Source organism: Homo sapiens, chromosome 5, assembly GCF_000001405.40.
Source record: "Homo sapiens chromosome 5, GRCh38.p14 Primary Assembly".
NCBI classification, from domain to species: domain Eukaryota; kingdom Metazoa; phylum Chordata; class Mammalia; order Primates; family Hominidae; genus Homo; species Homo sapiens.
Genome location: NC_000005.10, coordinates 61529358 through 61546774, shown reverse-complemented (window position 1 = coordinate 61546774; position 17417 = coordinate 61529358). Strand labels below are relative to the sequence as shown.

The 17417-nt window shown below is 38.1% G+C and overlaps 1 protein-coding gene across 5 annotated transcripts in view; it reads right to left on the bottom strand.

Moving 5' to 3' along the window:
- Nucleotides 603-17417, bottom strand: part of ZSWIM6 (zinc finger SWIM-type containing 6) — a 213915-nt gene continuing 197100 nt past the window's right edge. For 4 of the 5 annotated variants that reach the window (NM_020928.2, XM_024446139.2, XM_017009677.2 and 1 more), the window contains 7 exons: nt 16577-16723; nt 15050-15310; nt 11156-11291; nt 7804-7961; nt 7016-7179; nt 4810-4891; nt 603-3320 (listed from right to left, as the gene is read on the bottom strand). In NM_020928.2, coding sequence (NP_065979.1) covers nt 2458-3320; nt 4810-4891; nt 7016-7179; nt 7804-7961; nt 11156-11291; nt 15050-15310; nt 16577-16723 — 1811 coding nt within the window. In that variant the 3' untranslated portion in view covers nt 603-2457. Of the gene's footprint in view, nt 4486-4809; nt 4892-7015; nt 7180-7803; nt 7962-11155; nt 11292-15049; nt 15311-16576; nt 16724-17417 lie in introns of all 5 variants that reach the window. The other variant, XM_047417453.1, reaches the window with a different exon arrangement.

Here is a 17417-nt window from a genome sequence, read left to right as displayed (position 1 = left end):
GCAAGATGAGAAAATTCTGGAGATCTGTTTTACAACTTTGTAAATATTTTTAACACTGCTGAACTGTACACTTCAAAATGCCTAAGATGGTAAATTATGTGATGTTGTTTTTAACCACATACACGCAAAAACTATTTGCATCATTTTGGGTACAGATCCTTGATGGAAATACTGGATACAAGTGACTATGGTGTGCATGTAGCATCTGCCCTTTATAATGTAACTTCCTTTTAAACCACACACACAAGAAAATCTCACAAACTCAGCCTTTATTAAATATATTAAGTACTGAGCATCCTAAATTATAGCTTATTAGAGGAACGACCAAGGGTTCAGACAGAAAACAGACTATTCTGTTTCATATTTTATCTTTGTGATTATTTGGCTTATGTCTGCCTTCTCCATTAAGCAGACAGTGAGGTCCAGGGTCTGATTTTGTTCACCATTACATTTCCAGGGCCTAGCACAGTGCCTGGAAAATAGCACATAAACGTTTACTGGATGAGTCAATATAGTATTAGACACTTGGAGGCGTAGTACTACCCAAGTCTATAATCACCAAATTCAGGTGCAATAAGAGATATACCATAAAGGAGGCAGAATCAACTTTCAAAAAACTAATTTTAATCAAAACAAAAATTGTTGATCATTAACAAGTTTATAAAACAGTGATTTAGTTACATAAATAAATTGATATCAGTGTATCAAATCTTAATTACTTTCAACTTCATGAGCATGTTTACATGGGTGATGAATTACAACCTTTTTTTTTCTTTTTACCTATTATAATAAATAAAATGGAGCGCATGAAATAGTTCTTCTAAACAAAAATACCTACAAACATACCTCTAAGCATGTTCTCTAGTGAAGGGAACAAGAGACACTGGACAACTTTTGCACCAAAACATAAAAATTGCTTTAAAAAGCACAAGGTTACAGAACCATCAGCTAAAGTAAAGACACTATACTGTAACCAAAGTTGGTATTTAATAATATAATGAACAGTTTGGTAGTTAGATCTCCAGTTTGGTTATTTTAAAGCATTAAGACAAGGCAAGATAGAAGGCTGCTTTTGTTTGAGTAATTTCTAGAGAAAATAAAATATATTAAAAAAAAAGAAAACTGAAAAGTAGAACAGTCATACCTACACAACTTTCTGTCCTGCACAAAGTCAAAATACCTATGCAGAATAGATATATAATATATATAATGTTATTTGTGCACAAAGGTTAGCTTATTATTAGCTCACTGCAAAGGCGTAATGTATCATTATGTCAATTGTTTTGGAAAACATTTTGTGTTTTGTGTCAAAAGGATATTTCTTTTAAGTTTCCTAGGCTAGGAGGCACGAACCCCAATTCCGGCATATTGTATATTCTTAATGCTAAGGCTTGCTGCTCTGGCTGTGTATTTTGTTGTCCCTCTTTATTCTAGTGCCTGTTATAAGCATGTGTGGTGTAGTGGTGGTTGTTGGTGGTGTGTGTGTGTGTCTGTGTGTATACATATATATATGTATACATAAGTTGTATAAATATATATACATATATAATTTCTCCCAATAGATCTCAGTCCAACCATGCAATCCAAAAGGTGGCTCTGCATAGATGCCCAGCATGAAGTTCACCACCTGAGCCAACCCTGAAGCAAGGCGTACTTTTAGTCCTTCTGATAGGTTTTCTCTCAGTTTTTTTTTTGTTTTTGTTTAAAACCAAGCTACTGCAGCTTCAAGTATTTTGCATTACATAGAATATTTTTTATAAATTAGTTAATGTTATATTTTCAATATTCAGACATATACTATAATATATATACAGTACAATAAATGCTCTCATTCTTTTTTTAATTTTTTTGGATAAATCCCTGAGAATGTATGTTGACAGTCGCTAAGTTTCCACATGCACAAGCATCGTGTGCCATGCTTCTGGACGAACAGCACTGCAAAGCCACATGGGTCAGCCTTTTTACTATTAGTATTTCATTTTGTTGGTTTGTTTAAATATGCTGAAAATGTAAAGATGAGTTACAAAGGAGTAAAGCTGAATCCATTCGAGGTACTTATCACAGGATGGAGGTGTTTTGTTTGGTTTTTAAAGCCATTTCAATTATTTTTTTTGAGGCTGTGAACGTATACAGAAAACAGGAGAGCTATGTGGACTTTTGCCACTTGACAACATATACTCAGTGTAAACCAAACCTTTTTAACCTCTCTCTCATACAAAACCAGAAAAAAAAAATTAAAAAAAATAATAAAATAAAGGAAAGAAAGAAATAGGGAAAAAATAAAAAACACACAAACTTTCACAACATGACAATTTAGTCTGCAAACGCAATATAACTATACACATATAATACCGGTGTGGCTCTGTTCTTTAAGTTAAAAAGGGTACAAAGGCAGGCTCAAGTAAAAACAAACCATCCCTCCCATCCCCACCCCCCACCCCATTCATACAAGATCTATCAACCAAACCTCTCCCGAACCAACATCATCAGTTTCTTTTTGCCTTTGTAGATTTGTTTCAGGTTGTCAATAAACTGTGTAAACTGAATGTGTCCATCATGCGCCATTAAGAAGGTCTCTCGGGCTTTGCTGAGGAACTCTATAAACTCACTATAGTGCCGAGGACTGATGTGTGTGAGCCGTGAGTGCGTTGTGTTGATGTAGGCCCCGATCGTGGCATCCAAGAGTTGCCTCAAGGGGGCTTTGTCCAGTGACATGAGCTTACCAGAGTTCCTCCTCCCATGAAGTCCCACCATGCCAGGAGTGGTCAGAGTGCATCTGCGCAAAATGTCTGACAGTACCGTTGCACACTTGACACTCTTGACCACCAGAGGTATTATAGCTGCAAGCTCATTTTTACCAAGGGAGTGGCTAAGCGCACAGGCCCACAAAACATCATTAATGGCAGGGTGTGTGTCCTGATTGTAGCTCAGGTTGAGATGGGTCATGGCCAGGGTGGCCAGCTTGTAGGCCCTCATGGGGTACCCGCGGTGCTCCATGTACCGTGCTATTGTAAAGAGCTGTGTATAGCTCATGCCAGTCGTAGCAGCGTCGAGAACAATTTGGTACGCCGTCTCAAAAGCTATGTGATCCTTTTCACAAAGGGTTAGCGCAGAGAGGGCACAGTTCTGTGGATCCTTCATGGCACACTGCAGTGCAAGTGTCCGGGCGCTGCTGGCCAGCTTTTCCTGCTGGTGGCAGTCCAGGTGGAGGCGGACGATGGTGCTGTTGGACATCACGGTAGTTGCAACTATACTTGTGGCCTCGGTGGGAGTAAAGAGTGTAAACCAGGTCTGCATGATGCTGTCCAGGGCATAAACCCCTGCAAGGAACACAAACAGGCTCTATTACTGACGAGGAGGCTGCCCAGAGGTCCTGCCTTATTTTGACTTTTACAACCAGTGTTTACATTGTTAACCATCATAGGACATGAGCTAGGCTAGAAAATCCTGTAAAGTAATGTGCCTGTGAGAAACCTTTAAGAATAAGGTCATTATGAATTGTTATTCAGTGAAATGCCTGAAAGGAACATGAACTTGCTATAATAAAGAACCAATCCTCTTGGTAGCTGGTATTTGTACTGTGCTGCTTGCCATTTCAGACAATGGCTTTTTGCTAATGAGTTCTACTTCACTGGGGCTTCCTGTCAGAATTTGAGGCTCAAAAATTGCAACCTCACCAAAACAGGGACTTTACATGGCTTATGTGCTTGTGTGTAAGGTAAAAGTACACATAATACAAAAGTTTAAAACACACAAAGAAGCTGGAAAATGTGGCCCATAATCAAGAGAACAAAGTCAATAGAAGCAGACCTACAGATGAATCAAACGTTGGAAATGGCTGACCATGTCTTTAAAATAATCACTTTACGTTCACAGACCCAATATCCCTCACTTGTAGGAAAATCCTAAAAGTGAATGATTTGAAGAGAAGGTACTAGGTCTCAGAGAGAAATCAGGTTTATATGTTGGGGCAGGGGCAAAGAAGTTGTGTGGCAGTTCTTAAATTAGTATTATTTTTGTTTTGCTTCACTAAAGCATGACTTTAATGATGTAAAGATAATCTTTATATTGAGACCAGCTTCCCTTTTTCCAAAATAAAAAAACCATTATACGTTAGTGAAAGAAAAATAATAATTTTATAGTATATGCTGTGTCATATCTAAACACTGGGATGGCAGTGTTTTCTCAGCATGAAGTATGTATCCCTTTCTGATGCAAATATGAAAAAAGAACGTTTAACCACTATTTATTTTAAATAGCAACCATTTGTTTCTGTTGGCATTCTTGCTGGGAATGTACAGTTTTCTTCTGAACTGATCTACTGCTGCAGTGGAGAAATAGTTAGCTGAAGGGCCTCACAAAATGGCAGCTTATGGGCAGCCAGGAAATCTTCTTATGGCCAGCTACAATTGCTCACACATCTGGAGGATCACCTAAACCACACCCAGTGGTCATCACTTCTCTGCTGGATACCATGATGTATGCCTTCAGATGATAAAGAAGAAAAACAGTGCAACTAGGTAACTTTATATATATGAACTGAATAAAAACAGTTTACTCACTGACTTATACCATTTTAAATAAGAAGCTGGAGCTTCACAAATGTGACCATTTCAAGTTGAATAATACAAGTATGTATAACTGAAGGTTAGGGGTAAGGGGTCAGGGAGAAGGAAGCCCTTGTGGACTGCTAGAAGGAGCCTTGGAGAAGTCAACATAAAAGAGTGAATATGTTCACATGTCTGTAACTGACAAGTTAAATCCTACCATGAGGCACCTAGGAAAGCTTCTGTTCCAGAGTTTACCTACCGACTTCAGTAGCACACGTTACCAGCCACCTCACCATCTCCCGCCGTCGCCAATTTAAGGTTGACAGTGTCATTCGCATAACCTATAAAAACAGGGTAACAAAATGTTTTAGAAAATTATCCTGAGTCAATGAAAAAAAAGGGGGGGGATAAACTATAAGGCATATAAGGCATACCTACTGTCTACCACCAGGAAGATGAAAGCATAATTTAGAGCAAAGCTCTACATATGAATTTGGATTTGTCCATGGCTACCCCAGGTGGCCTTGCCACAGCCACATTCTCCTCCTGGCAAGAGGCCCATATTCTCCTCCTGGTGGGCCCACTGACTAGATGTGGTATCTGAACCAGTTACTCTATCTTTTCTCATCTGCAAAATCAGAGGGCTGGACTGGAGCATTAAACACAGCCCATGCCCTTTTTCCCTCCCCAGATTTAACATTCCATAGTTCAATTTCTGAGGCTCCTGTGAATTCATTCTAACCAGGAACTCTCAGTGGGGAAAGAGGTATTTTAAAATAATCATTTTAGTTATTCCTTCAATCTCTGATTGCTCTTTTCTGGTGACCATGAAGGTAACTCCAGGTTTATGGGGGAAAAAATCATCCTTGATATCATTAGTGATCTGATTTTGTTTTTCACTTTCTAACAAGAAGTCCCTAAATAAACATATCTCCCTCTTCATAATTCCCCCATTCTTTAAAGATTCAAAATATCCAGGGACGGTCAGGTGCGGTGGCTCATGCCTGTAATCCTGGCAATTTGGGAGGCTGAGGCGGAATGGATCACGAGGTCAGGAGTTTGAGACCAGCCTGGCCAATATGGTGAAACCCCGTCTCTATTAAAAACATAAAAATTAGCCAGGTGTGGTGGCGTGCGCCTGTAGTCCCAGCTACTCAGGGGGCTGAAGTAGAAGAATTGCTTGAACCCAGGAGGCAGAGGTTGCAGTGAGCTGAGATTGTACCCCTGCACTCCAGCCTGGGTGACAGAGTGAGACTCCATCTGAAAAAACAAAACAACAACAACAACAAAAAAAAAAAAAAAAAAAAACCCACAAAATATCCAGGGACATCATATCCCCAGAGGCCCTGTGGGATTCCTTTTTAGGTTCTAGAAATACTCACAAAGGGCCTGTGAGATTCCTTCTTAGGTTCTAGAAAGAATGAGTCAAGGAATAAGCTCTCGTGCATATCCTATTTACCATGAATTCCAAATAACAAGAGAGCTCATGTTAATGGTTCTTTCTGCATCACATCTTTAAGATGAGGCAAATGGTGACAAAAATTAGCCAAATAACAAGAATTAAAAAAAAACAAAAAACTTCTGAACCATCACTATATAGCTTAAAAGCAATCTTCTATACCCTTTGCTTGTACAGTATTCTATGTTACCATGGTAGGTACATTTTCCTGTGATCCTATTATTTAAACATTATTAGTCACTGTAAGGGAGAATCCACAACTAAAACACCAGATTAATTATCCAATCAGGGGATTATACTCCCCATTCTTTAGGTAACTGGGGTATAACAATTTTGTTCACTGCTTTTTAATGGGAAGAAAGCAAATGTTAATAGAGATTCCATGAGAAAAATGAAACAAACTTTTTAGTTCTTGGTTTATCCAGTGATCTGTTCAGAAACTATAAGGAAGCAAACATCTATCTGCATGACGAACTCAAAATGTCCTTGGTATTCTGTTCTGCTGAAATCTAAAACTGGACTCTGGCCCGATCACTCCTCCTTTACCTATTTTTCTCAGAGTTATTAAAAGGAGCTAGAACTGCCCATCTATTATGAAAATGCAAACATCAATAAAAATTTATACTTCCTCTAAAAATTTAACCCTAACAACTGAATCTTCATTATACATGCTAGCTTTATTTAAGTCTCTTATTAGCAATAATTCTTCTCCCTTCATTCAAAGGAGAAACAGTGTCGTTAAGGCTGCAATTCAGAAAATGATTTTTTTTAATTGAAAGACACAAATTAGGCTGCTAAATGTACAGTCCATGCACCTTACATAGCAGTCTGGTTCAGCTGGGAATGACCACGTCTCTGAAATACAGTTCTCTCCTGAAGTCTAACAGATTTGTACTCCAAAGAGTCATTTACCTGCACTCAAAAATCCAATCAAACAAAAACAACCCTAAGAGGTGCCTTTATTTAGCAGTCTTTGATGTCCCAGGAAAGACTACCAGTCATGTACCTGCAGGCCCAGCTCCAGAGACACTTTCAAAAGAGTGATGTCTGGCAAACTGTCCATGAGAGTTGCTATTTTAAATGCATCTTGGGCAAGCTTGAAGATGTGTGATGAGGAGTGAATGTTTTTCTGGATGGATTCTAATACTGTTTCCAGCCTCCGAACATCGCCTGCAATGAACAAGGGAAAACCAAACCAAACCAAATCAAAGCAAAGCAAGACAAACAAATAAACAAAAATCATACAACCATACACACACACAGAGGGGGAAAAAAGAAACAAAACAAAACATAAAGCACAAGTTAATTTACCTAACATGTTCACAGATGGCACAGGTGTTACAACTAGGGCTCCCATAATTACTGCAATGTCTGTGAATCTCGGCTTCACAAAAAAAGATACACTGAGACACACCCTCAATGACTCAAAGCACATATGAACCAGGACCAACATGAGACAGCAACAGCTCTCCTAGTTCCTACTTATGTATTTTTGGTGAATATTTCAGGAAGAAAAAAATGTAACCCAACTTGTAAATCTGCTTCTGAATTTCAACCATTTATATTTTCTTAGCATGGTAACTAACCTGAACTCTGCTGGCAGCAAGTTAATGATGCAGGTAAATGAGGAAAATGCCACCTGTTTTGCCTTAAAAGCTAACATCTAAAGAAAAAGATCCCTTCAACCTATCTGACATTAACACCACTGCTGAGAATTTGATAGAAAACAAGACTTAAAAAAAATAAACAGGCAAACGAATGAAACAATTATGAGGCCTCAGGACAGTACAGTACCTTTGGCTGCAGTTAGCATGGTGGATGCCAGCTCACACTGCTGGGACTCAATGTGGCTTAGAGTGAACCAGCGAGGGTAGCGGTTGGGAACAACTGATGCAATGTGGTGTGGGCGGGTGAGGTCTCCTGATGGAGCAGTAGATTCCAATACTAGTAACCTATAATGAGAAGACAAGGAAGGTGGCCCCTAGTTATTTCTTGACCATGTCCTTGGCCAGAAAGACTGGCCAACAGAAGCCAGAGGAGTGGGTAGATGTTCAGGCCTCTACTCAAGTTCAGCAAGGGCTGGTACAGCTATACTCTGCTGTGTGGGTGCAAAATACCTAGATTTTTTGGACTACTAATTGTTTGCTAATAATAACTGTTCATCACCCAAACCTTGTTAGTTGTTCATCACCCAAACCTAAGAGATTTTCTTTCTTTAGCACCATTCAGAAAATTACAATATTCAAATAAATTAAGATACGCAAACACCGAAGAACTTTTAAACACAGGTCTTGATGTTTACCTACAAATTTTGAATTCTATGACTCAAAAAATAAATCAACAGAAACTGATAGTGAAATGGATATTTAAGACTGAGATCACAGTCAGGAAGCAGTGAGTACTTAAGATGAATAAGCTTAACCTATTTAAACATAAAACAAGAAGGGAAGTAAGACAAAAATTACCTCTTTTCCATCCATTCATACTTTCTGAACAATTAGTTTCTTATGACTCCAGGAATTTGACATTAGACTATGTTCTACCAACCATATTACAGAAGATAAATGTGACCTAAGTGTCTGTCCCTTGACAGTTTTGCATAAATTCAGAGTGATTTCTGATTTTTTATTAAGAATATACTGTCATGGCGAAACCCTGTTTCTACAAAATATAAATCAGTTGGGTGTGGTGGCATGTGCCTGTAATCCCAGCTACTTGGAAGGCTGAGATGGGAGGATCAGCTGAGCCTGGGAGCCATGATTACACCACACCGCACTCCAGCCAGGGCAACAGAGCAAAACCCTGTCTCAAAACAAATAAAAAAAGAATATGCTGATGAAAAAATTTCTAAAAGCAAAGCAAATATTTAGTAATCTCTTCTAAAAGTACCAAAAAGCTTAGTAGAGTACCTAAAGCTGAAATAATTTATTTACAACCATCAAAATGCCGGCCTTCAGTCAAGTACACCAGTGTTAAGAACTATGAAATAAGATAAGAGCTGGAGACCAAGAAGAGTCAGCTGGGTCTGGGAGTGATGCTGGCCTCAAGGCCCCACCCAAGAGCAATTATTGCCTGGTAAGCCAAATGGCTCATTCTCTTCTCCTTTTATTTAGGAACAAAAAGATGTCAGCAGTAGAGAAGGTGGCAAGGTAGGCAGTTAAGTAGTAAGAATAATGGCAGGGTTGCTATTTAGCTTTTTTTTTTTTAACTCAGAATATCCTCGTATTCACAGGCAGGTCTTGCCAGACTTACTGTAGAAGAAACTAATCAACATCCCTGGGAAGATGAGAAAATGAGTGCTGAAGATGACCTTCCTTAGCCTTCCTCTTCCAGAAGGACTAAGAAGCATGCGAGCTACATCTCTCTTTTCCTTCCTGTTCCCTGGGCTGCCTTGCAATACCTGGTGGGGCACATACCTGCCTTCCATGGCAGACCTTTGGCAGGATAGTAGTGGCAGATAGAAGAGAGAAAGTGGAAAAAAAATTCCCCTGTACCCTGCTAGTATTCCCCATTAAGAAACTGCCTTGGCAGCAACCAAGGACAAATATAAATGAGTTTGTGAGTGTTAGAAAAGCAAGCCTTTCTGCCTGGCACATACCATTACATAAGCCAGAACCACACAGAAACTTTATGCTATTTTACCCTTAAACTTTGCCAGTGGTAGTAGCAACAGCATCTGGTGGCACCATAACATTAACATCTTCCCTTTAAAACAAGATTAGAATTCCTAAGATTTGAGTAAGTATAGAGTTGAGCATATGTCTTCATAAGACAGCTTCCATTTCAGCTTCCAAAAATAAAAATAGGAACCCACTTATTTTAAAATCGTGCTCTAAAACATAAACCAAGTGGTATAATGTAATTTGGTGGGGGACTTTTGCTGATGTTTGTTATTGACTTATTTTCTGGTATTTTAAAAATAGAAAAAAGAATACTTAAGAAGATTCTCCAGCAGGTTAGTAAGATTCCATATTGCCAAGGAAAGCATGTCAAATTACAGGATGTCAGCCTTAAAACACACTGACACATAGGTATACACACAGACACATACACACATCCTTATCACTGCATAAAAAAGAGGTGTCCTTATACACATAAGCTACACTCAATACTTTCAGAACAGGGTAACTTTGGGGACACTGGTAATTTATAGGCAAGGATTTGTTTTAGAATCTACTTCTCTGATTACAGACATAGAATCTTTGATGAAAAGCTTCTTGAGATCAAACTGTTAATCAGCACACACAAGCTTTTAGGTCTACAACATGGCTTGTCCTTAGGTGATCTGTACTTTCCATTAGAAGCACAGGAGTGTTTTATTAATTTTTTTAAAGGAAAAAGAAAATGCTGATGTTTTAAGAAAGATGGATGTACCTTTTAGGTCCTTAAAATTTAAAGGTTATTTGTAAGATTAAAATATAATCTTGAACTCATTAAAATATTCACCTTGAACAAATCTGTGATAAAAATAATTATTATGTGAAATAACTTTTAAAAGAAGGTAGAAATAAAAAGGTGGGTGGTAGAGAACAACATATTCTAACTGTTATTGCTGAAAAGGAGAGACCGATGAGGAGATGGAAGCAGTCAGAAGAGAGGCAGGCAGAGCCTGAAGGACCCCGAATAGCGACTCCTTCACTGCTAAATGCACGTCCCACCTTCTCTCAGCCTCCAGTGAATACAGATGTGCCTTGGCAATACAGGGAGTTGCTTTCCTGCACTACTGATGGAATGCGGAATTACAGCAGGTGTGAAGGTCTCCCTCAATTATATTCAAGCCAGTATATTTACTATTTACTACTGCTTCAAAAATCAATTTTTTCAAAACAATTAATCATTTATGAAGGTTTCAACTGTTGCTGTTTTATGATTAAACTTGGCTTGAATTGTGCTTCACGAAAAAGTAGGAAAAAGCCACGGTGTGCTTGAGTCTGATAGCAGCAAGGATAACCCTTCCCTTACTTTAAACAGAAGCAAAACAAGCCAACAAGCAAATCACCTCCACAACAATACAGGAAGCATAAATACATAGTTTCTTTAGCTTTTCTGCTGCCTATAAGAAACATGAAGGAGTAAGTCAGTTAACAGCCATGCTTCCCAGTGGGAATGTGGCCTGCCTCTGCCCAGCTGGGCTGTGAATACATACCGCATTGCTCTCAGTGCAATTTTGTATGCCAATTCAGCATCGTGAGGTAGGAGAGAGGTGAAGAGATACTTGGCAAATGTGTGCATTGGAACGCTCTCCCGATGGATTATTTCACCTAAACCACTATATGGTCCGGCTGTGGGAAGAGAGCATACACATTTTACGTTCCTAAAAAATGAACTAACACTTCTTGTAAAGCATATTGTTAAAATGTCACATAAAGTTATAACATATACAAATAAGAATTTCAAGTAAATGATATAGAAAGGAATATAATCCTTAATCAAAAAAGATTCTTCAGGGTATAGCATCCGTTACAGATTTCACCTCATAAACAAACCCCTAACTGTCCCACAGCTAGATGAAAAACCCAGAACTCAGGGGCAGACAGCATTCACAATACAAGTGCCTCAGAGAAAGGAACCCTCTATAGCGTAAAACCTTGCTGCATTTGAGCAACATCCTCTCTCAATGTGTGGCATCAGAGCATCTTGATTTGTAAATGCACAGATGACACCACAGCTTAACTATGGAAACTACCCCTGGACCTAAGAAGGGTTAGGGACACAAATATGCCAGGTTTCCAGAAAATGGTGCTCTGTATCAGGGGTGAGAGGTGTGGGAGGATTCTGAACCACAGCTCTCTAACTATACACATTGTTGCCTCTAATGAGTGGCAACAGATATTAATTCCTAGAAAGTGATTATTAATAAAAAGAATAGTTACCCATTTCATACGCATCATAGGCAAAAGAAAAAAATTAAAGTAACTGGAAGTTTACTATTCTTTGGGCTCCTGAAAGCCAATTTTAAAAGCAAAATTACACTTAAGCTGTCAAAATTCATTTCTTAGTAAATTCTGACAGGCGTGGTGGCAGAGCTGACTTCCCCTGTGTGCTCCCTGAATGCTGCTTTGAGAACGGCAACATAGACTTTTAAAATAAATTCTGAAAGGAAACCACAGTGGTTAGTTCAACCACTTTGCACTAAGGTACTCTGAGGTTTAGTTACTGTAAAGTTTTTAATAAATTAGTTTCCATGTTACCTTCGGGTAACATCTGTTTCATGATTTCTAGAATTATGAACCATGACACCACTGCTCAGAGGACATGCTATATTTGTTTTCCATGAGAAAAACCAGTGTGGTGAAGAGTTTAGAATGCAAGAAATGCAGTTCAGAAGAAATGGTAAGAGCAGTTACTGAACTGGTGGTTGGTTATGAGCACAATATATTCTAGGTCATTTTAATGGAGGTTATTTTAATTCAGTTGAGTTTTTTGATAGTATTTTTGAATTATTCATTATTTAAGTACTTTAAAATCATACAAATTTTTTCACCTAAACTAACATCTAAATCTCTAATTTTACCAAATCCATTAATCTTTAATTTTAAATGTTTTAGTGATTTGATATTCTTCAAAAGTTCATATAGCATTATGACTGCACCTTTTGTTCATATACCAAGGCTACATTATTTAAGTTATTAACTGTTACAGGCTAAATATGTATTTCTTCCCAAAATTCACATTTGGAAGCCCCCAGCCCCAATGTAATTGTATCCAAAGTTGGGGCCTGCATTAAAGTAAAATGAGGTCATAAGGGTGGGGCCCTGATCCAACAGGATTAGTGTCCTTGTAAGAAGAGACACTAGAGAGCTTGATCTCTCTGTCATGTGAAGACACAGAGAAAAGGTAGCTGTCTTCAAGACAGGAAGAGTGCCCTCATCAGAAGCCAATGATGAGGCTGGCACCATGATTCTAAACTTCCCAGCCTCCAGAACTGTGAGAAATACATTTCTGTTGTTTAAGCCACACAATCTGTGGTATTTTGTTATGGCAGCCCAATCTAACACACTAACTATTTTACTTAAGGACTAATTATAGCAAATCTATAGATTAGCCACAGTCTTCATTTCTCCTTCATTTTCTTTCACTGTTTCCCCTTAAACCACCAAATTACCTTTTTTGTACTATTCAGGAGATCCAGGATACATAATCAATTATTTGCTATGATACCACTCAACAAGTAAAACATTCAGTCAGGTATCCAATAATTATTTGTGGATTAATAATTAGTGTAATTCCTGGACTCTAGTGTACTACTGAATAATGACAACTTGATATTTGGCACCAAGTTTCCCCAGAGGTGCTTGTTCAATATGCTAATTTATCTATCCAATATTGTGGCCAGGAGGGATTAATACTAGCAACAATACTGGGTTACTCCTTCCTCTTTCCAGATATCTGGGCCTGCTAACTAATTTGCCTCTGACATTTGCAAAGAGTATAACTGCACGAAGAACTTGGTGCCCTGGTGTAGTCAATTCAGTCATGGAGTTCTCAATCTTCTAGCATTTACAGTAATGGCCCTGTGGCCTCCCCGCCTTGGACTGCCTCCTGTCCTGCACCTATTCACTCTTTGTGGGCCTTGCAGGGCCAGGAAAGGAGAAGAGGCAGAGATGAGTCAACAATGCTCCTTCTCAGGCACAGTACTCATAAAAATGTTTGACGGGAGGGATGGACGAATCAAGACTAGGGCAAAGTTCAAAAATATTCATGAAAAATGGACATGGAGACATATTTAGGAAGGTAAATACAGATACCACACACTATCAACTTTGAAAATCACAGATCTTCTTTCTAAACTTCAGTATAAGAGAAATCAAAAGTCAGTATAGTCAGTGACAGAAAGCATTTAAAAAATGCTTGTGACTAATGACATTGCTTATAGCATAAGGAATTATATGGGAGAAAACTGAAAGAAAACAGTAACTGAAGAATCAGGATCACTCTTGAAATTTGTCAAGTGTCAAGATGGGCTTTTTATCTTTACAGGGAAAAAAACAGGTTCAGGAGAGTGCTTCAAAAAATTACCACTGGGAATTTTTACCAAAATTAAGCATGCTATTAAGAAGGTTTACCTGAAGAGCATTTTCCCTTTAAAATGCATTTCTAAAACATATAAAAGTAAAGTATGTTTGAAGAAAATGTTTTCTTTTAAGTAGATCTTTTGCTTTGGACAAATAAAAGGGGTGCTGAAAATCTAAATCCCTTCCCTATATGTAGTAGTTCTGAACATAAGATGAATATAACATACTTTATGAGGCTATCAATCACAGAGAATCCCATAATAACACACTAATAACACACATATACTTGAGAGACAGAAGCAATAGTTACACACCACCTAAATTTGCACGAAAGATCACACTACCACATGAATTACATTTACCTTTTCAGAGGGGAAAAAATCTGAAAAATAGTGTCAGCCAAAATTTGTTAGGCCCTTTAAAACTTAACTTTATGAGAAGAAGGAAATTAGACCGTGCCTCAGATTCTATGAAACCTTTTCCTTGATGAATCTGTGCCTAATGAATCCTCTGAAATAACTAGTTGGTGCAGCAGAAATTCACTCGCACAGCCCTCAGTCGTTTGTTAGCGTGTGCGTATGACACATTCAAAACCCAGGTGTCATGTAACCGCCAATAATTTGGAGGAAGGCCAGCCAATTACTGTTTTATTATTTAATTGATCAAGGAAATAGGAACATGCCTGCCAATAATAATGCACTAAATATCAAAATTGCATTTATCTCAGGAACAACACAGTCTGAATGAAATAGGTTCTTTTCAAGGTTTGAGGCATTAAATGCAGCTGTTTTGTAATAGGCTATCATATATAACCACCTAAATCAAATGATACAAATCTAAACATCCATGCTTTTTTATTCAGTGACACTATTTTTTAGACAGCGAACATGTCTTTGATACCCCATGACTATAGCAATCAGGATAACTACCATATTAAATGCATTCAGATAGCACTTTTAACATAAGAAAGATTAGCACCTAAGTCAAATTGGCTAAATAAGTGGAAAACTTCTGTATCAGGCTACCTTCTAATAGGAAGACTGCTTGCTTGCGAAAAATTTTCACCAGTGTGTCATCCAATTCAATTTCCTGAAGCTTAGAAATGAGCTGCTCCTCATTCCGGCAAACTTTCTCTTGTGTGTACAGCCCATCAGGCATGATACGCTGCTGTCCTAGCCCTATCAGGGCTACTTCCACAGCCAGCGTTAAATAGGATTCCCCTTCTTCTAAGAATTTGTGTGCAGGTAGATGCTGGTATTCCAGAGACTTGCACTGTCCCATATTCTCTGCAAAATGCCACAAAAGAAATCAGAGCTCAGAAACTACTTTTGCAGATGATATGATAAGTACAAATATTTATACTTCCCCGTACAAGCAAATGAATTATGGATTAATGCTGAGAAAGCCAGAAAACATGTTTTTTAGGCTAAAGTGCAGTCTTCCAGTATCTTTTTAAAAATGACCATGAATGATTAAATGTTTACGTTTTGGGGGATATAACATTACAAATACTTTTCTCCCTTGAAAATAAATCACCAAAGAAAACTATAAATCTAAGAAAATATGAACTAAGAATACTTAAGAGAAAAACAAAATTTAATTACACAATAGTAAAATTACACGATGACTTGCACTCACCACTTTTTAAATCCTGGCATTCAAAACGTTTCCATAATAAAAACAGTAGGGAACATAACATATATAACCCAATTTCAAGTCCTTTTTATTATCCAAGAGTCATCAGTTATCACAAGAGGAATGATTCTTTGAACATTCTCTTGTCTCCATTAAAGTGCTTCTATTATAAATTATAACAAACTTCAACCATCAAACTCCCAAGGAAAGTGAATTCAGACTCATGCCTTTCACCCTCCTGACAGTGTCTGGGTTACCCACAGTCCATGAAGGCAACTATCACAGGGCAAATTATGAAGGGGCAAGACTTGAGCTCATCCAGCCATGGAAGCAACAAAGGGACATCGTTACTCCCTGCCTTACCTCCACCCACTGCCCTTGGGCAGTCTTTTTAGTCAAGATTCTTAAGTTTCAATGGGCCAAAGTGAAATCTCAAAACACAGCTTTCAAGGAATGTATGATATAAAACAGTTTTAAATGACATTTAATACTCCCCCTTAAAGTAGACTAAAATATTTAAGTGACAAGTCACTTTCAATGCAAAGACAAATTTGAAAAGCACCTAAACTAGATTTTCTAGTTCTAAATGCTAAGATGTACATCTTTATTTTATAACTTTATGCTAAGAAGTAGTCATAAATGTGGATAAATTCGTAGATACAGAATCACTGGTTAGAAGAGAATAAATATTTTTAAGATTCTCGAAACAGGCTGCCAACTATCAACTCTAAGACTTTTCCCAGTTTTGTAGCAGCCTGCGTGAAAGCATGACAGTGCCCATTTTCTTGCTCTCTTGCTAACCAAAGGTGCTGTTAACTACATGGTTCCATAAAACATAATGTAAAGAAAAACAATGACTACTGCCATTCAGGGTTTAGAAAAAGAAAAGCACATGAGACAAATGTCAATGGTTTTACCTGTAAAATCTGAGAACCCAGAGAGGTTCTCATCATCAATGCGGCAGGCTTCCATAAGGCTACTGAAGAGAGTGCCCACAGGGTCCAGGGGATGTCCAACCCAGCCCTCCAGATTGGTTATCGAGGTTATGTTTTTATGGGGTAGCTCTGTGTAAGGAAAGGGAATTGAGAAATGGGGGAGTAGAAGGGAGATGAAGGGAAAGAAGTGGGGAAAACAGAGGCTTTACCATTTAATAGCAGCATCCTGATAAACCAGTTCTGAATTCTGTTCGAAATTCTCTTTTAATTAAGAAACCAATCAAAAGGTACCATAATCCCCAACTTGTCAACTATTTTGAGTTCTAAAGGTTCATCTGTAAGTCAATATAAATGGTACTGAATTTCCAGGACAGCTCCCAAACATCTATTTAATTCATGTGTCTAGGGTACTGAGTCAACATTACTACTTACACTATTAAATTATGTTGTATAGGGAAAAATGAATTCCAAATTTTCTTTTGAGAAATTAGGAACAACTCCCCCACTTCCCTAGGAGGGGGCATTAGAGAGGACTAAGAAGTCCCACTGGAATTATCAATTGGTAACTCTACCACGATATGCAGAAGAGACCTCTCTAAATCAGTGTTAACTGGGTCATGTAAATTGAGGACTTGAAGGCAGCTGTAGCTTGGGTTAGACTTGTATTCCCACATGAATATCCTTAAATTACCCCCATCACCTTATGAAAATCTTCCTTAGTGTGAATCTGTAAGCCATTTAAGAGAGAACCTTTGCCATAAAGGGGAATGATAATAGACGATTATATATAATTTGAACGAAATAATCCTTTTCATTTTCTTCA